Source organism: Homo sapiens, chromosome 7, assembly GCF_000001405.40.
Source record: "Homo sapiens chromosome 7, GRCh38.p14 Primary Assembly".
NCBI lineage: Eukaryota > Metazoa > Chordata > Mammalia > Primates > Hominidae > Homo > Homo sapiens.
In genome coordinates this window covers 27,961,383-27,985,496 of record NC_000007.14, presented here as the reverse complement: position 1 = coordinate 27,985,496, position 24,114 = coordinate 27,961,383, and the positions used below count along the sequence as shown (strand labels likewise).

General features: G+C 39.7%; 1 protein-coding gene across 5 annotated transcripts in view, besides 1 other annotated feature; it reads left to right on the top strand.

Moving 5' to 3' along the window:
- JAZF1 (JAZF zinc finger 1) overlaps positions 1-24,114 on the top strand; it is a 350,219-nt gene that overhangs the window by 195,299 nt on the left and 130,806 nt on the right. The window lies entirely within an intron of this gene.
- Positions 2,775-3,974: an enhancer, noted in NCBI's record as "CDK7 strongly-dependent group 2 enhancer chr7:28021142-28022341 (GRCh37/hg19 assembly coordinates)". NCBI's record gives its function as "activates an origin of replication core promoter dependent on BRD2, BRD4, P300/CBP, MED14 and CDK7 cofactors, with strong dependence on CDK7, by STARR-seq in HCT116 cells {active_cell/tissue: HCT116}" and the evidence as "EXISTENCE:reporter gene assay evidence [ECO:0000049][PMID:35650434]".

Here is a 24,114-nt window from a genome sequence, read left to right as displayed (position 1 = left end):
TGTCTGGTCCTGGACTTTTTTTGGTTGGTAGACTATTAATTATTGCCTCAATTTCAGAACCTGTTATTGGTCTATTCACAGATTCAACTTCTTCCTGGTTTAGTCTTGGGAGGGTGTATATGTCCAGGAATTTATCCATTTCTTCTAGGTGTTCTAGTTTATTTGCATAGAGGTGTTTATAGTATTCTCTGATGGTAGTTTGTATTTCTGTGGGATTGGTGGTGATATTCCCTTTATCATTTTTTATTGCATCTATTTGATTCTTCTCTATTTTCTTCTTTATTAGTCTTGCTAGCAGTCTATCAATTTTGTTGATCTTTTCAAAAAACCAGCTCCTGGATTCATTGATTTTTTTGAAGGGTTTTTGTGTCTCTATCTTCTTCAGTTCTGCTCTGATCTTAGTTATTTCTTGTCTTCTGCTAGCTTTTGAATGTGTTTGCTCTTGCTTCTCTAGTTCTTTTAATTGTGATGTTAGGTGTCAATTTTGGATCTTTCCTGCTTTCTCTTGTGGGCATTTAGTGCTATAAATTTCCCCCTAAACACTGCTTTAAATGTATCCCAGAGATTCTGGTATGTTGTGTCTTTGTTCTCATTGGTTTCAAAGAACATCTTTATTTCTGCCTTCATTTTGTTGTGTACCCAGTAGTCATTTAGGAGCAGATTGTTCAGTTTCCATGTAGTTGAGTGGTTTTGAGTGAGTTTCTTAATCCTGAGTTCTAGTTTGATTGCACTGTGGTCTGAGAGACAGTTTGTTATAATTTCTGTTCTTTTACGTTTGCTGAGGAATGCTTTACTTCCAACTATGTGGTCAATTTTGGAATAAGTGCAATGTGATGCTGAGAAGAATGTATGTTCTGCTGATTTGGGGTGGAGAGTTCTGTAGATGTCTATTAGGTCCGCTTGGTGCAGAGCTGAGTTCAATTCCTGGATATCCTTGTTAACTTTCTGTATAGTTGATCTGTCTAATGGTGACAGTGGGGTGTTAAAGTCTCCCGTTATTATTGTGTGGGAGTCTAAGTCTCTTTGTAGGTCTCTAAGGACTTGCTTTATGAATCTGGTGATCCTGTATTGGGTGCCTATATATTTAGGATAGTTAGCTCTTCTTGTTGAATTGATCCCTTTACCATTATGTAATGGCCTTCTTTGTCTCTTTTGATCTTTGTTGGTTTAAAGTCTATTTTATCAGAGACTAGGATTGCAACCCCAGCTTTTCTTTTTTCTTTTCCATTTGCTTGGTAGATCTTCCTCCATCCCTTTATTTTGAGCCTATGTGTGTCTCTGCACATGAGATGGGTCTCCTGAATACAACACACTGATGGGTCTTGACTTTTAATCCAATTTACCAGTCTGTGTCTTTTAATTGGAGCATTTAGCCCATTTACATTTAAGGTTAATACTGTTATGTGTGAATTTGATCCTGTCGTTATGATGTTAGCTGGTTATTTTGCTTGTTAGTTGATGCAGTTTCTTCCTGGCCTTGATGGTCTTTACAATTTGGCATGTTTTTGCAGTGGCTGGTACTGGTTGTTCCTTTCCATGTTTAGTGCTTCCTTCAGGAGCTCTTGTAAGGAAGGCCTGGTGGTGACAAAATCTCTCAGCATTTGCTTGTCTGTAAAGGATTTTATTTCTCCTTCACTTATGAAGCTTACTTTGGCTGGCTATGAAATTCTGGGTTGAAAATCCTTTTCTTTAAGAATGTTAAATATTGGCCCCCACTCTCTTCTGGCTTGCAGAGTTTCTGCTGAGAGATCAGCTGTTAGTCTGATGGGCTTCCCGTTGTGGGTAACCCGACCTTTCTCTCTGGCTGCCCTTATTATTTTTTCCTTTATTTCAACTTTTGTGAATCTGACAATCATGTGTCTTGGAGTTGCTTTTCTCGAGGAGTATCTTTGTGGCGTTCTCTGTATTTCCTGAATTTGAATGTTGGCCTGCCTTGGTAGTTTGGGGAAGTTCTCCTGGATAATATCCTGCAGAGTATTTTCCAGTTTGGTTCTATTCTCCCCGTCATTTTCAGGTACACCAATCAGACGTAGATTTGGTCTTTTCACATAGTCCTGTATTTCTTGGAGGCTTTGGTTTGTTTCTTTTTACTCTTTTTTCTCTAAACTTCTCTTCTCACTTCATTTCATTCATTTGATCTTCAATCACTGATACCCTTTCTTCCAGTTGATCAAATCAGCTACTGAAGCTTGTGCATTCATCACGTAGTTCTCGTGCCATGGTTTTCAGCTCCATCAGGTCATTTAAGGCTTTCTCTACACTATTTATTCTAGTTAGCCATTAGTCTGATCTTTTTTCAAGGGTTTTAGCTTCTTTGCCATGGGTTCGAACATCCTCCTTTAGCTCGGAGAAGTTTGTTATTACCGGTCATCTGAAGCCTTCTTCTCTCAACTCGTCAAAGTCATTCTCCATCCAGCTTTGTTCCGTTGCTGCCAAGGAGCTGCATTCCTTTGAAGGAGAAGAGGAGCTCTGATTTTTAGAATTTTCAGCTTTTCTGCTCTGGTTTCTCCCCATCTTTGTGGTTTTATCTATCTTTGGTCTTTGACAATGGTGACGTACAGATGGGGTTTTGGTGTGGATGTCCTTTCTGTTTGTTAGTTTTCCTTCTAATAGTCAGGACCCTCAGCTGCAGGTCTGTTGGAGTTTGCTGGAGGTCCTCTCCAGACCCTGTTTGCCTGTGTATCACCAGCGGAGGCTGCAGAACAGCAAATATTGCAGGACGACAGATGTTGCTGCCTGATCCTTCCTCTGGAAGCTTCGTCTCAGAGGTGTATGAGGTGTCACTTGGCCCCTACTGGGAGGTGTCTCCCAGTTAGGATACTCGGGGGTCAGGGACCCATTTGAGGAGGGAGTCTGTCCATTCTCAGATTTCAAACTCCGTGCCGGGAGAACCACTACTCTCTTCAAAGCTGTCAGACAGGGACGTTTAAGTCTGCAGAAGTTTTTGCTGCCTTTTATTCAGCTATGCCCTGTCCCCAGAGTTGGAGTCTACAGAGGCAGGCGGACCTCCTTGAGCTGTGGTGGCCTCCACCGAGTTCGAGCTTCCTAGCCATTTTGTTTACCTACTCAAGCCTCAGCAGTGGCGGACGCCCCTCCCCCAGCCTCGCTGCCGCCTTGCTGTTCGATCTCAGATGGCTGTGCTAGCAGTGAGTGAGGCTCCATGGGCGTGGGACCCTCTGAGCCATGCGCGGGATATAATCTCCTGGTGTGCTGTGTTGCCAAGGCTGTTGGAAAAGTGCAGTATTAGGATGGGAGTGTCCCGATTTTCCAGGTACCATCTGTCATGGCTTCCCTTTGCTAGGAAAGGGAATTCCCCTACCTCTTGCACTTCCTGGGTGCGGTGATGCCCCGCCCTGCTCCATGGGCTGCACCCACTGTCTGGCAAGCCCCAGTAAGATGAACCCAGTACCTCAGTTGGAAATGCAGAAATCACCCATGTTCTGCATCGCTCACACTGGGAGCTGCAGACTGGAGCAGTTCCTATTCGGCCATCTTGGAACCTCCTCTATATAGGAGTTATACTCACTAAAGTAACAAATATTTTGCCAAGCATGGTTTGGGACTACAAAAGAAGTCAAAGAATAGGGATGGGGCCACATACAAAAACCACCAGAGAACTTGAATCAAGTGCAGTGGTTTGGCATAAACTGTCAGTAGGATGTGCTGGAATTCTAGAGTCAGGGCATGATCAGTGGGTGTGAAATTTCTTGGATAAGTCATCTCGGAGAAAGTGAGTAATTTTTAAAATAACATTTTATTATAGCCGTCTATAGGCATTATAGAAAATTAGAAAATATAGTCTGACAAAAATGTAAAAACAAATTAAAACATCACATTCCCACCACCCAGGTATCACTGCTACTAAAACTTTAACTCATATTTTTCAGATCATTTTATAAAAATACATATATAATTTTTTAATTGAGAGCTGTACATACTACTTCATAATCTACTCTTTAGTCATTCATCTCTACTTTTCCATTTCACTAAATTTAAATCTTATCTAATACCCAGATTTCTAATCTAATATTCAGATTTCTCCAGGTGGTCTAAACATGTTCTTTATAGCTGGTCAGTCTAGTCTAGCATCCCAATTCAGGGAATCACAGTCCCTTTTATTGACAATAACTTGTTGAAGAGATAGGCTTGTTGTCCCACAGAATGTTTCTACCTTCTGGATTTTCTCTTGGTTGTTTCCTCTAGATGTCATTTGATGGGTTCCTCTGTCTTCTGTATTTACTGTAAATTAGAAGTTAGATCTGGAGAAGATGGGTCTTGAACTGGGCACCTCATTATAATTACAAACCTGAGAAAATATGGAATTTGACAGATCAAATCCTAGCTGGGAGAGAAGTAGACATGTATAGTGGATCAGTAAGTTTACGAATGATTTTTAAGTGAAGAGAAAGATTGAGTGGAAGGTTGCCTAAGTTACTAATACCTCCACTCATACAGGATTTCTAGTGCCACTTTCAGAGGATAAAGTTACCACACAGTAGGAACTTTGGATATGTATTTGTAGGAACATAGTAAATGAAAGAGAGGGCCAAGCAACAGACAACTACTAGCCTGGCCATAGTGGAAAGATAACTAAAAGGAGTCTTGGGGACCTTTGGTAAGAGAAAGGAAGCATGCAGTATCAAAATTCAGATGAAGCCAGTATGCATTCAAGATGATAGTAATAAGGGTTAAGTCATGTGAAAGAAAATCGGCTTGACAACAGTAGGCTAAATATGACAGAAGATGGTGCTTTTAAAAAAAATGATGTTTATACAAATAAGAGATTTTTATTTCCCCTCAGGGGAAATAAACTCTAATTTTCCTGAGCAGTGAAGACCAGAAAAGAATGACGACTTTTCTGCTCAAATATCTGTTTAAACAACCTTGATAGACATTTGGGCATCTCAAAATTGAAATGAAACTTTCTTTGGCAATAACATTGACTAATCAATCAGCAGAGGGTTAGGTTCCTTAAAATGGAGCTAGCTTTTTGGATTATTAAAAAAAAGAAGAAAACACTTAAGTAAAAATTGTTGCCTTTATATACCTATTTAAAATTACTCTACACTCTTGAACATAATATGTTGAACATAATAGATATTTACAGGTAGGAAAAAAAACCTATGATTTTCTTAAAAGTGGGCTTTTTAATGACTTAATGGACATCAGCTAGATTTTGGATTTTGCGTCCAATCTGCTGCAATGCTATGTGTCGTACAGCCTCTGGAAAACCCCACAGTATACCTGTGAAAAAATGAGAATGAAAAAGGCAAATGATAGTACACAGTGGGGCATTGGGTTCAAACCTACACAGTTAGGCTCTAGGCTCTAGCCACTGTGTAGCTTGACCTGTTGGGATATCAGAGTTAAAACTTAAGTATTAGAGGATAGAAAAGTAAGAGGAGAATTTGAAAAAGTATCTAATATTGGAAAAATAGGGTAGGACACCTGGGCAGAGGGAACAGACATAAAAATAAGAATAATTGCCATGTCCTAGATAATTAGAGGTTAGCAACCCAATAAGATGAAACAGTAGGAGACTGAAGAAGCTGGAAACTCTATGAGAGAGGTAACCAGTAATTCCTATATGATAGATGGCTACCACTGAATTAGGTTGACTGTGCAAGGCAAACCCTAGCATAACAGGCCTCAGCTGTAATGGATAAGGACACCTTAGCATCTCCAATCGATAGGAAAGAAAGGGCATAGCACCCAGGAAATTATTCTCCATCGTGACTCACCAATGAGGCAGGGGATAGGGGAGAGGCAGGGGATTCGGGGAGCTGCAGGGCAAAGGCAGGTGAGTCTCCATAAAAAGGTTACTGAGAAGCATGGGACTGTCCCTGGGTGTTTCTTTCAGATTATTGTCAGAGTAGTTCAGATAGCTTAGTAATAACTTTTGGCTTCCCAGAAATGGATAACTGACATAACTTAAAGATATGATCCTAGGCACAGTGGCTCACACCTGTAATCTCAACTGTTTTGGAGGCTGAGATGAGAGGATTGCTTGAGCCCAGGAGTTCAAGGCTACAGTTAGCTATGATGGGGCCACTGCACTCCAGCCTGGGTGATAGAACAAGACTCTGTTTCTAAAAAAAAAAAAAAAAAAAAAAAAAAAAAAAAAAAAAAATGTAGTGTACCTGGCCACGCCTGTTAATTATACTGTATTTTCTGCAAAATATGCTTTTATTAAAATAACATAAATTGGAGTTTCCAAATTAACTTTACCTTAAAAATATATATATAGCATTTAGTATAAGATGTAAAGAATTGTCATGCCTAGGCACAAATTGGCACCTTTTTATACTCGATTCTTTTCATTTACTACTTAACAAAAATATACTATGTTCTTATAACTTAGTTACAGATCTACTCTCGTTCTCTTTGTAGGACTCCCTGTACTACTTGGTGCAGTAATGGTAGGCTCGACCTCTAAAAATTATTTTTATTTAACCTAGTATTTGCTGTTGACATTAGATAGCAAATTCTAAAATCTGTTTCATAGAACAGTAATTCCAAGGGATATTCACCAGTTTCACATGCACTCACTCTCACACTGTCCCTCTCTCTCTCCCCCTCTCCCCTGCCTTTCTCCCCCCAAAAAACACACACACATACACACCCCTACACCCTCACGCCCTCACACACTTACTCACAGTATAGGGTACTGTGGTCTTTATGTTTGGGAAATTTTGAGTTAAATAAAATGGTTTTCTTTACCATAAGATTTATCAGATCCTCTGCTATGCTGATATGCATTTTAAGTCTCCAAGAGGAGTAATATAATTCTCATATGTACCTGATTCCAGAGCACTTTTTCTTGAAGCATCTGATGGGAGTAGTGTTGTGTATATAGTTTGAGGTAATTGTAATATCACTAGAGTAATATCACTTCCACCTACTTCCTCAACTTCCCCGAGGAACCCTGAAGCCTTTTATTCAGAATGGCTTTTTGTTCTTTTTCTGATACAAAAGGCAGAATACTCTTTTTACTCATCATCGTCTGGGAAAAACAAGGACAAAATTTTGCCCTAATGGTCTAACTCAATCAAATTCTCCTCTTGTGCCTCTTTTAGTGGTGTTCCCAACTACTCATAACCTGCTCAGACACCAAGCTGTTTTTTGCTCAGAAACTATCACTGTTTTTCCCACATTTCCAATGTATTTCTCCTCTCTTTGAGAAGTAGAACAATGTAGTGGTTAAGAGTATAGGAGCAGGAGTCAGACTGTTTAGGTTCGAATCCTGTCTCTGCCCCCAGAACAGTGTCTGTCATATATAAGACTCTCAATAAGTATTTATTGAATGAATAAATGAATTTGTTTATGAAAGAATAAGAATGAATGATCTAAGAACTCTAGGGACACTTTGATGTGAAACAAGGAGCTGCTACTGCCTATTTGCATTGAGAGAGCTATGTGGAATGTTATTGCAACTTTTATTCAACATTCATATGGCATGCAGCATAAAAATATTTAAATAATTAAATTTCCATCATGATTTCTGTCACCATAAACAACTGGACAAATGTACAACATAATGGTTTTCAGGCTCTAGACAATAAGTAGTGCAAGACCATGATCCCTGAAAGAAAGGAAGCTTAGGAGGTGAGCCCCATGATCACCTACCTGGCCCTCGCTGTCTGAGGACAATGTCCTTACTGCAATGGAGTAAGCTAGAGTCCAGGCAGAACACAGCAGCTTCGCTGAACTGAGGAGGCAGAGGTCAGAATCGGCACAACTAAAGTTGCTGAAATCTGCCTGTGTGTGTATGTGTGTGGAGAGAAAGGGGGTGCAAGTGAAGATGAGGGATCTGTGAAGACTTTCCAAAAATCTATATCAGGATCCTCCATGAGTCCATGGCTGAGGGTGGGTTGCTCATGTTCGGGGTAAGACTTTGAGTCTTAATCAAAGAGTGGCTGCCACAAGGGTGAGACTAGAACAGAGAAACCATGTTGCACTCCAGCCCAGCCAGTATAGAAACAATTTGTGGACACCTAGTCATTCAACTGAGATACCAGAAAGACTTCAAATTAGAAATAAGGACTTTGCTCTAGGGTATGACTTGCTCTAAAAGCACCCCAATGATCCCTAAAACCAAACCCACATAAGATTGTCAGAGGAGACAGAATTTGGAGTTCTGACAAGTTAAAGGGTCTTGGGAAACGTTTTGGGCTTTTAAGAGATGTATTCTAATAAAGTATAAGTCTAGACCTATACAAGTTCAACATGATCAGCATGAAATTGAACTGCCTGCTAGGACAAAACTCAGTATTTTCATAGGAATGGATCAGATATCACAATGTCTAATATATAATGAAAAATTACTAAACATGAAAGAAGTAGGAAAATCTTCCCTTAGACAAAACAAAGCAGTCAATAGAGATCTTTCCTGAGATAGCCCAGATGTTGGATTTAAGAGACAATGACTTCAGAGTAGCCATTATAAACATGTTCAGGGATTTAAAGTAAAAATGTATGGAATAAGAGGTTGTTTTGAATGAAAATAAAATCAGTCTGGATGCTTTTTTTTCCTCCTTCTACCAGAATGTGAGCTGCTTAATGAAAGCTTTCTTCCTCTTTCCCACATTTCTTCCCACTCCAAAACCTCACCTAATCCTCCCAAACTCTCACTCTTGGTGTTTCAGTTGGACTCATTTTTGCCAGATTTTAGTCAGCCATAGCCTCATAAAAAATGCTATAATTAGCTGAGTGTGTACTGGCCTTCTATTTTTTTAATACAAACAAGCCTGAAGCATTTGATGTTTTTTAAATCTAAAAGCGATGACTTTTTTTTTTTCATGAAACCACCTGTTTATGGTCTTCTGAGAGCAGTCATATTTATTACAGTACAAGGCATGCCTTCCTATTTTCCTCCCTTGTCTACTAGAACTAAGGTTCTGCTGTGTGCCCCAGCTCCAGACTGAAGTTTGTGGCCTGATACATGCCATAATAAACATGTTGCATGCTCTTAGGTCTCAATCACCAGGCATCGTGCTACCGTTTTCTTAGCCTATATTTTTATGGACATCAGTTGAAACAAAGCTGAGATGGCTGCCTGCCAGATTTTCCTTGTAATATCTGTAATTTGATTTGGTGTGCTCATTGTGTTCCAGAAAGACCATATATTCTTTTTTTTTTTTTTTTTTTTTTTTGAGACGGAGTCTGGCTCTGTTGCCCAGGCTGGAGTGCAGTGGCGCTTCTCGGCTCACTGCAAGCTCCGCCTCCCGGGTTCGCGCCATTCTCCTGCCTCAGCCTCCCGAGTAGCTGGGACTACAGGCGCACACAACCATGCCCGGCTAATTTTTTTTGTATTTTTAGTAGAGACGGGGTTTCACCATGGTAGCCAGGATGGTCTCGATCTCTTGACCTCGTGATCCGCCCGCCTTGGCCTCCCAAAGTGCTGGGATTACAGGCGTGAGCCATCGCGACTAGCCCAGAAAGACCATATATTCTTGAGGGACACTGGGAAGCTGGAAGGACAACCCTTATGTGACATTTTGGCTTGCTCCAACAGAATTAGTTTGCATTGCTCACACAAAACACTTGGTAGGAGAGGTGAGTCTTGTCACAGTTGGGTGATGTGATTCATTTGTTAGGAACTGTGCCTCCAGTAGTCTACAGTTCATTCTTAGGACACTCTATGTTTTAAACAGGTTGCTTATACAATTGAAATCACATCAGACCATTTTTAAAAATCTTTATGTCCACTCATCAGTATTTATGACTGATCTTTTTATGCATCTTTGAGCCCAATTCAAAGCTGCTTTATAATTTTTCAAAATTTTTAAACTTATCACAGGTCAGTAGAAATTCAGTGATAAAGAAACACCCTAGACATAGACTTGGATTTCCTATTTCTTTTTTATGTAGAAAGCCTTTTCCTGGACTTTGTCATAAGCAAGAGCTGCTGTACTTTCATTATCTCAAACTGTGAAGTTGACCTATTGACCAGAGGCTCCACTGTTTCCCCTGCTGTGTCCTCTCCTGGGTGTCACATTTGCCTTGAGACCTCTAGGGTCTCAGCCCGTCCTTCCTTGACATGTGATATAGCTTAGATGTCTACTCCAAATCTCATGTTGAGATGTAATCCCCAGTGTTGGAGGTGGAGCCTGGTGGGAGGTGATTGGATCATAGGGGTGGATTTCTCATGACTGATTTAGCACTATCCCCTTGGTGCTGTCCTTGAGATCATGAGTTCTCACAGGATCTGGTTGTTTAAAAGCATGTGGTACCTCCCCCTCCTCTTGCTCCTGCCCTTAACATGTGACACACCTGCTCCCACTTTGCCTCGACCCTTGAATAAAAGCTCCCTGGCCCGACGCGGTGACTCACGCCTGTAATCCCAGCACTTTGGGAGGCCGAGGCAGGTGAATCATGAGGTTAGAAGATCGAAACCATCCTGGCTAACATGGTGAAACCCCATCTCTACTAAAAATACCATAAACTTAGCCAGGCATGGTGGCACATGCCTGTAGTCCCAGCTACTCAGGAGGCTGAGGCAGGAGAATGGCTTGAACCTGGGAGGCAGAGGTTGCAGAGAGCCCAGATCGTGCCACTGCACTCCAGCCTGGTGACAGAGGCGAGACTCCATCTCAAAAAAAAAAAAAAACTCCCTAAGGCCTCCCCAGAAGCCAAGCAGATATTGGCACCATACTTACACAGCCTGCAGAACTGTGAGCCAGTTAAACCTCTTTTCTTTTCTTTATAAATTACCCAGTCTCAGGTATTCCTTCATAGCTTCAGAAGAACAGCCAAACACAACTTGCCTTCACTCAATTGCTAAATTCAACTTTGACTTGTCCCCATGACCTTGCCCACTCATCATCTCCAGTCCTCAGCCTCAGATGAACCTAATATGTGCCTCTCTACTTAGTGGACGTGGAGAATTCCTACATAAAAGTATATAGCAGGATGATTCATCCCACTTCAAATGCAATCTTTCCAACCTCGGCTGGACCCTCAAGACTGACCTGTAACATTCTCAGGTCAAAACCTTGCTAAACTTACTGCAGTTCAGTTTGAAGTGTTTCGCACTGTACTCAAGTTCCTTAAGGAAGTCCCCATCCCCTCGTCAGCAGATGCTCTCAGTGCTGAAATTCTTTCTTCCTTTGTGCCCATTAGTTTGTTCTGTCCTGGTTCTTCTTCTACTTCTTTGCCATAAAAGCGGTGGCCTCTCCCTAAGTTTCGTCCCTAGCATTTTGCTTTTCTATCTGTATTTGTTCCGTGCCTTGACCTTGGCTGTTAACCGATGTGGAGAGGACCCTAGTCCCATGCTTCCTTCAGCCCCCATTTTTAACCACCCCACTATCTGTGGGTTTGGGAATGTTCAGTACAGGCTCAGCTCATCTAGTGCCAGGCCCGTTATTTTATATCCTTCTCCAGAGTGCCTCCTCTTTTTTTGATTCATACTATGTTTAATGGCACCTACCCATTCATTAGTCTAGGAAGCTTGGAATTATATTCCAACCATCTCATCTCCTCACCCCTGTTTCCAAATAATCAGGCACCAAATGTATTACCTTTGCATCCTCATCGCCTCTTGAATGCTTCCCCTGCTCTTGTCCTTACTTGAAGCTCTAACTTCCTGTTTGGGATTGTCCCAAGAGTTCACCGATCTCCCTGCCTGCCTCCATTCTCTCCACTGAAACCCTGTCCACCAGCTGCCATCACTAGAGCTGTAGAAAGCATCAGTCTGTTAGTGCCATGAATGAAAACCTTCCATTGTTTTGCCCTTGGCTTGCAGCGTACTCCTTCTTCTCTCCACTTCTTTCTGGCTGTGATAATCCTGTTCTTCAAGATGGACATTTAACACTATCTATTTTACAAAGATTTCCCAATCACTGAGAATAAATTGTTTAAATATTTGATTAAGTTCCTTTTTCAAAATCATACACCCCCTACCGGGCATGGTGGCTCACACCTGTAATCCCAGCACTTTGGGAAGCCAAGGCAGGAGGATCACTTGAGCGCGGGAGTTTGAGGCAAGCCTTGGCAACAAAGCAAGACCCCATCTCTTCAAAAAAATTTTTAAATTAGCTGGGCATGGAGGCATGAGCCTGTAGTCCCAGCTGCTCAAGAGGCTGAGGGAGGAGGATCACCAGAGCCCAGAAGGTCAAGATTGCAATGAGCTATAATTGCACTCTAGCCTGGGTAAAAGAGTGAGACCCTGTCTCAGAAAATAATAAAAATAAATATATATACACACACACACACTCCAGCCTGGGTGACAAAGTGAGACCTCCATCTCCTAAAAAGTTAAAATTTAAAAAATCATAACATTAACACATTTGGCTATGACTATTGAATAATAGAAATTTTAAAATTGTGTACAAATATATTTAAGATTAATAGCTTCTCTCCTCTCTCCCTAACACCCCACCCTGCCCCACCCCAAGTTAACAAATGTTAACGTTGTGGCGGGTATTCTCCCTGTATGGAGATATGCATATATATAGCTCTAATTGGTTGTAACATTTTTTAAATAAAATTGAGAGCGAGCCTAAAATAAACATCATATATTACATGTGTATGTGTGTGTGTGTGTATATATACACACACATATACATATATATGCATAAAATATATCTATATATTGCATACATATATGTATATAGATATATACGTATATGTATATGTGTGTGTATATATATATATATCATTCCCCCCACACACTTATCTTTTGTTTTTCGTGTAACATCCTTCCAGGTCAATAGAGATAGATCTAAGTCGTTCTTTTTAACAGCAACGCAAAATACTATGATACGGATATATAATGATTTATTTCACTATTAAGTGGTGGATATCCCAGTTGTTTCCAGGCTTGCTTGCATGTGTTTGTTTTTCACCACTAACGATAATCCTGCAATGTGGATTAATCCTTATTCTACAGACCTATATTTCTTTGCTTGTGTTTTTATCTTAGCAGGAGCTAAGTCATATCACCTCCTTCATCTGCCAAAGGCTTCCTGTCACACTTGAAGTAAAAGTGAAACTTCTTATCATGGCCAACATGGCTTCTGCGACCAGGCATCCCCTCACTTCTCCAGCCTCACCTCTTACCCCCATCCTCCTTCCCCTAAAAGAGTTGGGGTTCCTGCCCCTTGAGCACACCCAGCTCAGGCCTGCTCCAAGTCTCTTGTCCTTGTTGGCCCTCTACTGGGATGCTCTCCCTCCAATCAGAGCTTTACACAGTTCATGTCCTCCCCTTCTTTTAGTCTCTGGTCAGATGTCACTTGCGCAGCAGGGCTTCCCTCCTTTAAACAGTATCCTGTTCATCCCTCTCTGTGCCCTTACTCTTCTCTTCTGTTCTTCATAGTGCTTATCACTGCTTGAAATCACAGTTTATGTAATTATCTTGTTGAGTACCTGTCTTCCCCTAAGGAATCTGGGCTCCATGGGGGCAGAGATTTTGTCCATCTTGGTCGTTACTACATCCTCAGCTTCTAGAACACTGTTACACAGTAGGTTGTACACTGTTACACAGTAGGTAGTACACTGTTACACAGTAGTAGCTCAATAAATATATATGGGATAAATGCATGAGTAACAAGTTTACAGTTTTACATGTGTGTATATTGCATTGCCCTCCCATCATGTCTTACCAATCTTTCTATTTCCTATCTTTTCACACCTGATTGTATAGCAAGTACTTTGCACATGGTATGAAATTAAATCATAAAGTGGCGAATTAAACACAAGAGATGACCTTGGAGATTTCCCTTCCACCCCCACCATACACATTTACAAAATGACTCAAGGTGCTACACCTCTCTTATTTCATTTGGAAATTCAGATTGCCGGCAGTAATCTACTTGATTTATCGTTTTCCCCTTATGTGCGGCACCTCGGAGTTAATTAAGAAGGCCATGAATCTTCCCTCTATAGCTCTAGTGCATTCCCATTTGTAGAGTACTCTCATATTGCTGAGACTGTTGATTTGGGACTCGAGTTGAAACATTACTTAATTTTCTCACATTGAGGTTCATTATGCTGAGCCTAAAGACTAGTCCTGCCTTTGAAGGCTCTCTCACTGGCAAGCTTTAAAATAGCTCTGTGTTCCCAGTTTCTAAATTACTTGTTCTCATTTCCTCCCTTGTGGCCAAGACCTTGCCCGTTGGCTCAAAGCAGTGCAGCTAAGTCAGCGGCATATCCCCTGTAAGGCGCCCCCATCCTCAGCCAGCGTGGACTCATCCCCAGAGCTCTCCCGTCTGGCCTGTGCAGAGGTTGTCTCCAGCAATAGCACTTTGAACTTAGAAGGAAAGGACATCCACATAACCATATCATCACAAACGACACCCAAAGCCGTCCAGCAAATGAAGACAGTCAAGTCTTCATTGACTTAAATCCTTGAAATACCAAAAATAAACTGTATTGAAATTAGGAAGAATGAAAGGCATAACATAGAAATTAATTCCCTTCTCTCATTGTTTTCAACGCATACTGGCTTCTTTTGAATGCCTACTATGTGTGGGGCACTAGGCGGTGTGCTTCTCTGTCATCTGGAATCTTCACGGTGACCATGCATCATAGCTCTTAGCTCTCTTTAACACCTAAAGAAATGGATGCCCAAGGGAGGTTGTGGGAGCCCTTTGGCGAACTTGTGAAGCCTGTGGACTGCTTCCCAAAATAGTGTTTTGGAATTAACTAAAACTAGTTAAAGTAAACTAAGATTCATAAACTAAAATATGTAAGATTCCAAAGAAAACCAGTTACATTAAAATGCTGTTGTCAAAATAGTAAAATTACAAACTTGTGATACACTAATGTGTGCTTCTTTAATAAAGCCTTAAATAAGGAAGCTTAGGCACTGGGTTAGTAGCTTCCATAATTTCAATTAGTAATGAGTACAAATAATATTTTGAGATATCTGCTACAATCGTACTGTGATATCAAAATATCTGACTTCTACAGGTACAAAGTCATGCGTAGATACTGTAAAAATACTGTGACTCATTCCATATACTCATAATTGAAAGAAATGCTACATTTCGGTTACAGGCTACTTGAAAGTAATGATGTAAGTTTTTTGGGGTTTTTTTGTTTTGTTTTGTTTTGTTTTGTTTGTCCAGGTTCACAGATCTCTTAAATTCTCCCCATGACCCCTTTGGGTCCACAGACCTCAGGTTAAGAATGCCCGAGTAAGGTGTCATCACAGTTCTAAGTAGTCAAGCTTTTAGAAGTGGGTTCTTACCGAAATTTATGTGATTCCAAAGTTTTGTTTTTTCTTGGATATCATAGAACCTCTCCATACTAATACCTTGCTTTCTGTAAGATCTTTTATATATTGTACACTTCATCACACTGCCCTGTGTGGTAAGTCATAGCAGAAGCAGTAATGAAAACCAAAATGTATATAACCCTCTCTATTTTACAAAGAACTTGCACAGATACTTCCAGGTGTCTAGTTTATTACAAAGTCATTTGCTCATGTGAGCCATGATTCTACTTTAAAAGATTGCTCTTACCACTATTTTTTATAAGGATCAGAGAAATTCAGTGACTTGCCCAAGTTTACACAGCTAATAAATGGCAGACAAGGTTTGAACTACGAGATCTTTCTATTGTACATCCCTGTTTTTATCATTATTCTGGATTGCTCAGATACAAAGGTAAAAAGATGCTAGATGATTTCTCGCCATACTGCACGGAATCAAGGCATGGCCAAGGCAAGGCCTGTGTCTCCTAATCTCCAACTCCATTGTCTTGCCTCATACACATTGCCTCTAAAAACCTGCAGCTCAGAATTTACACAGAGTTCTTTAACCAGACATACAGACTGTGTGGAATTACCAGACTTGAATAATTGAAGTGCTAGCTTGTATTTTATGTCATTGTCTCCAGTTGCAGATAAATCCCCTTGCTTGTTGTTTGGTTTTTTCACTCCACCCTAAGCAGGTGGTAATTTAGTCTCTGGTCATTGCACTCGTGTCAGTCTTGTCCCAGGAGCTTTTTTCCCTGGCTTGATGTGAGTTAGTGCATTTTCCTTGACAGTCAATTCACTCTGCACCGTTGCTAAGGCCATAAACGTGATGTTCAACAAGCAGAAGGATTCGCAGAGAAGCCCTCCAAGCAGCTTCCACCTTCCGTGACCACCGAAATTTCCCTGCAGATTTAGGTGACAACATGGCCCTGTGTAATTTACAGTTGGTAGGGCCGGCATACAATCAGTCCTTGCCAACGTCCTCTCTCCCCTAATGAGATATTCAGCATGCCAAGACCAGAAATGGGATCTGGCTTTTGGAATTATCCCTGCCTTCTTGGTGATGTCTGCGTGCATCTCTTCTTGATGATGCCAGACTTGGCTGACTCACTCTTTCATTTCAAATTGAGAGAGCTTAGCAATAGTCAATAGTTGTGTCTCTCAGAAATCACAGTATCACCTTGGCAAATTGTGAGTTGTCCAAGTTTGCCTATTGACCAGACTAAGGTTAGCAGAAAAGGATAAATGGCATCACATCCTGATACCCGGAGAAAGAGTGCTATGTTACTCTTAGACATTGGGGGCCATCTTGGTACTGTATACTACTAGGAAAAATACTATCTATTATTCGTACAAACTTGATTGATTTTTTTTCATTTTTATTATTGGGGTAAATTCATTTGGAGCAAATTAGCTGGGAAGTTGCTTAGACTTGTCTTCCTTGTGCCCATACAAACATCCCTACTTTCTTTTATTGCCCATTTTATCATTATGTTCAACACCAACCAGATTCAGTGATGTACAGTTCTCCTGGGCCAAATAAGTATGATGAAAAGCTGGTTTCTATATTGCATTAATCTTTGCTAGACAGCGGGAATATTTTTGAAAACTCAAAGCCAGAATGCTTTTAATAATAAAGGCACATTATGCTCTTAACTTATTTACTGTTTTTGAAAATAGCACTTTCTGGTGTTTGGCATAAATTTGTCTCAAGGGCTAAGACATCAAGGTCTTATTTTCTACAGTTTTAAAGAGGCATGTGCATATTTGTATATAATAGCAAAGTCAAAGTTATTAATTTAAATTGGAAAACTGTGGTAAGCCCTGCAATTTCTGATTTCCTAGGCACAAACACCCTTGTAGCCACTGAAAGATGCTGAATGCAAAAAGACCAGGCTCAGGCTCTGGAATTCTACCTTATATAAGCATTTTTTTTCCATCTTCAAGACAAGTACTTCACCAGTTGCTACCACCTCTCCCATCTGTTAATAAGTTTATTATGTGACTGTGAGTTATGGGACTAATTATATTATGTATAGAATAATACTTGTTATGGCAAAGCAAATTAATCTGGAATTTCAGGTGGTCTTCGTTTAACTTTCATTTAATTGTGTCTGATTTCTTTTGCTCAGCATGTTTTTGAGTTTCTTCCATATTACTGCATGTGTTAGTACATGTTTTGTTGTTTGTTATATACCATACAACTATATGAATTACCACAATTATTTATTCTCTGTTGAAAGTCTTTGACTACTATAAAGAGAGAGATTATGAATATTCTTTTCCCAGTCTTTTTGTGCACGTAGCACTCATTTCTAATATATTATTATAAGTGGAATCACTGGCTTGTGGTATAGATGTGTGTTTAGCTAGTAGAAACAGCCAACCAGTTAAACTGTTTAAAAATAAAATGGTGGGACCACAATACTGCCCTGTTGGCAAGGTTTGAGACTTCCTGTTGTTTTGCATGCTTACCAACAATTTGTATTGTCAGTAATTTCAGTTTTAGTCATTCTTGTAGTTGTATAGTGGTATATAGAGCAATTTATTTTTGATCCATCTTATCTCTTTTTCTATTTAAAAATAATAGGAACAAAAATGGAAAGAAATAGCACCAGGAATTTATCAACAAATAAGATGCTTTTGTATTTCCCTTCAAGTGTTTATCCACACATATGTGTAAAATTGCATTAGAGGAACTTCTTTAAATTTTGCTTTTTCATTTAACCTATGTTTTTGTAGATTGTTATTTAGTAATATATAGTTTTTAATGACCCTGATTGATCTGAGTACACAAATATGGCTGGCAAGAAGACATTACTTCATCTTTTTACAACTAAAAGTATTAGTCTCTCGGGTCCCTCCCTTTATCACTATGAGAGGGATCGGACAGTCAGAAAGCTGTAAGATGTCCCTATGTTCTGTTTTCTCTTCCTATGTGCAAGCAGAGGACCCCACAGATCCCTTAGCTATTCCTGTTCATGTCTCAGGGGTAGGGGTATGGCCAGAGCATGGTACGGGGGTCCTGCAGCATCTACTCCAAAGCTCTGTCAGGTGCATCATGGGTCTGCCAGTGGCTTTGACCCGCTGCCCAAAACCATCTTGAGGAGGGTGCAGCTAGTTGAATTTCTTTCCCCCACCTCAAATGAGGACAGCTTTATTTTTAAAAAATAAAACCGATGTGTCTGGGATACATATGTGTATAATAAAAGCATAAAAATGTGCTTTATGAAGAGGAGACTGTAATAAGAAATGGTAGTTGGGCCTTTTCAGATCTCTTGGTTTATCACTGGCATAGACCCTGACTAGTCAGTTCCTTAGACCTGTGCAGTCTGCACCATCTTGCCAAGCAACCTGGATGCCCCCATCAGTTTCTTTTCGTGTCTAAAGTTGAAGCAGCTGGAAAGTTAAACCACTACCTCATCTTTGTTGCTTATACTGCTTCATTGCAAGTTACCAGGTCAGAATCTCACACCTTTAAAGGAATTAAGAAATAAGTAGAAGGAACTTTCTGGACAAAAAAAATTACCCCTTGAGAGTTCCCTAAGAATTTTGTTTATTCAAAGGCTTTAACTAATATAAAAGCATGAAAAAGAAAACCTGCCTTTTCCACCAGAGAAATTTGGCCACCAGTAACGATTGCTGCAAACTTACCCTGCTTCTGCTTCTCCCATGCATTTATGGAGACTCAGATAAAGGGGAACTGCAGTTTATGGACCTCATCTCCTTTACAGGCTTGGCCACATACACCATCAGTGCCCTTCCCTTCCTGGACTACCCCTGTGAACTTGACTGTGTCCAGGGTCAGCCTTGAATTGTGTTTTTCTCACTTGTGATAGGAGTAGAATTTTGCATCTCACTCTCTACCTCCATCCGTTGCCAAACCACCCCAATTCCCTCATCACCGCTTCAATCTGCACAAACCAAGGTTTCATTTCTCTATTTGTAATAAAAATGCTATAAATCATGTAAGGCTGGTGTAAGAAAGAGTGGGTAGGGATTAAAGAAAAGCAGCACCCTCTTCCCAAGTAAAACTCAAACCCAGCATCTGTGCAAGGCACCTCCTCAGAAGAACCTGGGGTTGTGTTAGCAGGAGAGTCTTGCCCTCATTGTAGAGTTGTGGAATGTATTGTGTAGTGTTAATGTGTTGGGTGCTTTTTTTAAAATGAATCTTCTGCAGCTAAAAAGGGATGCCAGCATGCTGCTCATAAAGCATTAGCTTTTTCTAATTACATTACCATATTCTGCAATAGCAGGGGAAGGAGAATTCAGATTCTTCCAGTAGCTTTCAGCTTGAACATTCATGACAAAATACAGAAACACATGTATCCAAGTGACATGTCACTTGACAGTCATCTTGGTTTTGTATATGCAGTGGTTGCATTGCTCATGTGTTTTTATTCATGTAGTCGTATCTCTATACCCTGCAGCCTGACTTGTCCTAGAGATGGAACAAGACAAACTTCAGAAGTTAAATTGAAACAAGATGTGCAGGAATGAATTTCTTTTAGGGATAAGGGAGGAATGCCTTCTGGTCAGGAAGGATTTATGATTTTTGGCTTTGTTTTTCTCTTTCATTTTTCATTAATCTTTAGACTACCGAAATCTAATATGCTGAAGATTTATAAAATACAAGGATCTTTCATTTATTGTCACAAGTAAAGATCAAGAAAGGTTAATCAGCATTTTACTGAATATGCTCAAATGTATTCCAAAAAGATGTCTCATATAGAAATATAACATTTTCTTAAAACAGGGAAACATTTGCCAGTCTTCTTCATGCAGTCAAATTTAAGGATGTTGTGATCCACAGCCTTGATTCATCTCAAGCAGTAATTTTGGGATGTCAGAAGACTTAAGTGAAAGACATTTATGTGTGTTAATATTAGCTATAAGGAAAACATATGTATCTATGCTTTGTGAGACAACTTGACTATAAAAATAAACATGTTCAGATCTTCTTTTAATACCTGTCACCAGTTTTACTTTCTTAGACTTTGAATATAGAATGGATGCATTTTGATTAGATGCCTGATTTTTTGTTTGCTTATTTGTGTTATAAATATCGGGGAATAAAGTATGTTGGGTGTACAATGACTGGAAAAAGTAAGAGCAACATTTTGGTGCTGTCAAGAGTTAAGATCTTTGCTTAGATTTTATGCTGAAGAACAGTATGTACATATTTTAACCTTTGTGTCTGATATATACTGAAATATGCAGTGTCAGTATCTATAAATGAAACCCTGTAGCTGTCGCAGCTGTCTTGACTTCTGAAAAACCTACAGCTCATTTCTAGTCATTCTCATGCTGATAATGTTAGAAAAAAGAAACACATGCGAACATACACTCTTCTCTGTCACAGATACCGCAATAAATTCCAGATCACAAGATATACTGGGAAAGGCATCTCTCTTGCTCTCTTTCTTTTTAAAATGACTTTTATTGAGATTAGTTTGACCATTTTAGCCAATATTTTAAGGACTAACAGATTCATGAGTTACCATTGTTGGCATCTGAGGTGACCCAACTAGCCTTTGGTAAGATTCATGACTACCAAAATATGTTGGTTCTTTTTTCCTTTGATTTCCTTGGTCATCTTCTGCTTGACTTCTTTTTAAAAACGTAATATACTGTGTCAGCCATTTTAAAAAAAAAAACTTTTTCTGATTATTAGGGAAATAGTAAAAAGTAAGCTTTGAAAATGGTTTTGGTGGTAGGGGTGGATCATTTATATTGTACCCATTCTTGTACAATATTTTAGGTTCAGTGGTTCAATTTTTTGAGTCCCATTCTAATTTTATAAGCATCTGTGGCAAGATTCTAATTGGGTCATACATTTAACTATTGTATCATGAGCATTCTCCATGTTGCTGCATCTTCAAAATTACTGTTTTAGTGGCCACATAATATTCCATAAGATAGAGTTCACCGAAACATGCCCTTCATTTCGTCATGATGGCTGCTTACAAGCTTTCATTATTATAAATTACACTGAAGCAAACATTTTTCATTGTTCCAAAAAAGATCCACCTAATGGATCTTTTTCCCTTTAGATCATTTTCATAGAACCTTTTCTCAGAAGTGGTTGGACTGGGGAAAAAGGATACAGATGTTACAATGCTATTTACCAGTGAGTTTCCAATTTTTGTAACAATTTTTGTGTGTTTTGGATGATAATATTCATTAAACATTTCCAAGGGAAAACTTAGTCTTTTTACTAAATCCCAAAACATGTTGGAGGAAGAGGGTATAATGGAAGCACTAGAGAAATTCACAATTGCCATCACTATATTATGGGTATATAGGTATATAAGCAACCAATTCAGATGTTGTCCTCATTCTTCATTGAAGAAATTGTGTTAAAAGAAAGTGCTGCTTACATCCAGCCCTTTAATCTTCAATCTACTTCAGTTTATTAAAAATGGAGCCATTGCCTGGCATGTTGGCTCATGCCTTAATCCCAGCACTTTGGGAGCCCAAGGTAGGAGAATTGCTTGATCCCAGGAGTTTGAAATCAGCCTGGGCAATGTAGCAAGACCTTGCCTCTACCAAAACAAAACAAAACAAAACAAAACCGGTGTGGTGACGTGCACCTACAGTCTCAGCTACTCGGGAGGCTGAGGTAGGAGGATCACTTGAGGCCAGGAGATCAAGGCTGCAGTGAACTGTGATTGCACCACTGCACTCCAGCCTAGATGACAGAGCAAGACCCTGTCTCCAAAAAAAAAGGGGGGGGGGGAATTGCAAACATTGATCCATTTGCTATCATTTGTGCAATTATTTGAATGTTTGTGACACATCACAACAATGTGCAAGACCCCAGGATTGACAGCTACCCCCAATTTACCATTATAACTTAATATGAGTAATCATAGGGAACAAGCATGGCAATTTTGAATTTGGAATGAAATAAAAGAGTAGTTTTTTTTCCTCATCCAAGCATTTGCTCTGATCCTCTTAACAGTTGGAAAGAGAGCTCCAAAGCTACATTGTTTCCAATTTAAAGTTAATTGAAATTTAACTGTGATATGGAGGAACATGATTATTACCATACTCCTAAAATTGTCCTTGACTTAAATAGAAAATGTTTGCAGAATGCTGTATGCCAAATTGTAACGTAGTATACATGAGAACATATTCCCCAGAAAATTCTGTATTATTATGTATTCCCCTTCATTCACAGAAAATCCATCCCAAAGAATTAAACTTTGCAGCACAATCTGAATTTGGAATTCAGATTCCCTAATAATGAAGGTTTGCCATGTTCAGCTTGCTGAGTTTATTAAACAGGTGAATGCTAACCCCACACAGTGAAGTTTTAAAAGGAGGGATAGTGGGTAGATCATTTCTGTTAAGCTTCAGAGCTTCAGTCTATTCATTTAACAAGGACAAAAAAGATTTGCAGTGTATTTCAGAAAGGCATATGTAGGATTATTCCACAGCAAGGGCCAAAGTTCAAATTCCCTAGAATATCAGGGGAAATTCTCCCCTCAGCATGTTACTGTTTTTAAAACAACTGCTTTTCTTGCTGATTAGACGTGATTTTAATTCCAGGACTAAATACAAAATGAAAGCAGCAGATAGGGAAGCCCTTGCATATCTTCTTGCTTTTACCCTAAGCCTGGCCATTAAAGGTAATTAATTTATGGGCTGGCAAAGCCTACTGCCTTTCCTCTATGGATTTGTTAGTTCTGCATTCAATATGGGATTCCAAATATAACTTGTATCCACCATTTATAAAATACAAGGACTGATCCCTTTGGCTTCTCTTGTCCCTCAGAGATTCCAGGATTAGCATGAAAGCTTTCTGTTTTTAGAAAAGCAAGTCTTGACTCTCTGTGGATTGGGGAAGACTGTGAATCACCCAGCCATGAGAGCCAGTTGGATAAACTTTTCATAAGTGATGCATATGAACTGTGAGGCTTGGCCTTCCTAACACTTAATGGGTATGGTTGTCAGGGTAATTTCCTGAATATTACTATGATCACTTTTACCCTTTTTTAACATAACATCAACAAAGGCACATCTACAATCAGAAAATGTTGAGGAAAATGATTTCATACTTCTTACCTATGTGTATTTCCTCTTGTGTACAGTTAGTCTTGTTTTTGGTAAATATTCAATAAATTAAGTGAGAATATCCATACTGCAGTGAATCGTGTTGTTGTACATGAAGACTCTCAAGAATTCACATCAAACAAAAGTTGATATGAAAAAGCAAAGAGTGTTTATGATCACTATTTAAATAATCTATTATTATGGCTGAGATGCCATCTTCATTTTATAGATAAGGTAACAGAGCTCAAAAAGGTTACTCACCACTAGTGGAGCTGGGATTTGAACTCAGGTCTCTCCAGTGCCAAAGTCCTGGACCAGCATATAGCCTTCTGCCTCTAGGTGATGACAGTAAACCTTTGATACCCATGATGGAAAGATCCGGAGAGCATCATGAATCCCTAGATTCTCAAATACCATGGCATGGGTGTACAATTTCCCCCTTAAAATGCAGTGTTGCTCTGTCCGGAGCTCCTACTGGAACTGTTTAAATGACAATGTTTCCTTGTTTTATATTGACTGGTGGACAAGTCCAGCTAGCATCAAAGTCGGCATTCTATTCTTTATCCAAAAAGGAATTCTTCTGTAATCTGGCAAAACCTGTCCCTTTTTCCTTCTTTCCTGCCACCTCTGGCTCTTGCAGTAAGCTTTCTTTGGGGAGAATATTTTCCTGAAAAATAAACTCTTTAATGTCTTCACCAGAGTTCCTGGGCATATGTGTGGTGACAAATAGAAACCAGCTTCTCCCAGTTATGATGTGGTCTGGGACAATCAGTGGGTCTGAGTCATCGCCTGTGCCACTCACCCACACACCAGCCTTGGGCAGCAGTCGGAATTGAGAATCCTGCCTCAGGCAATTA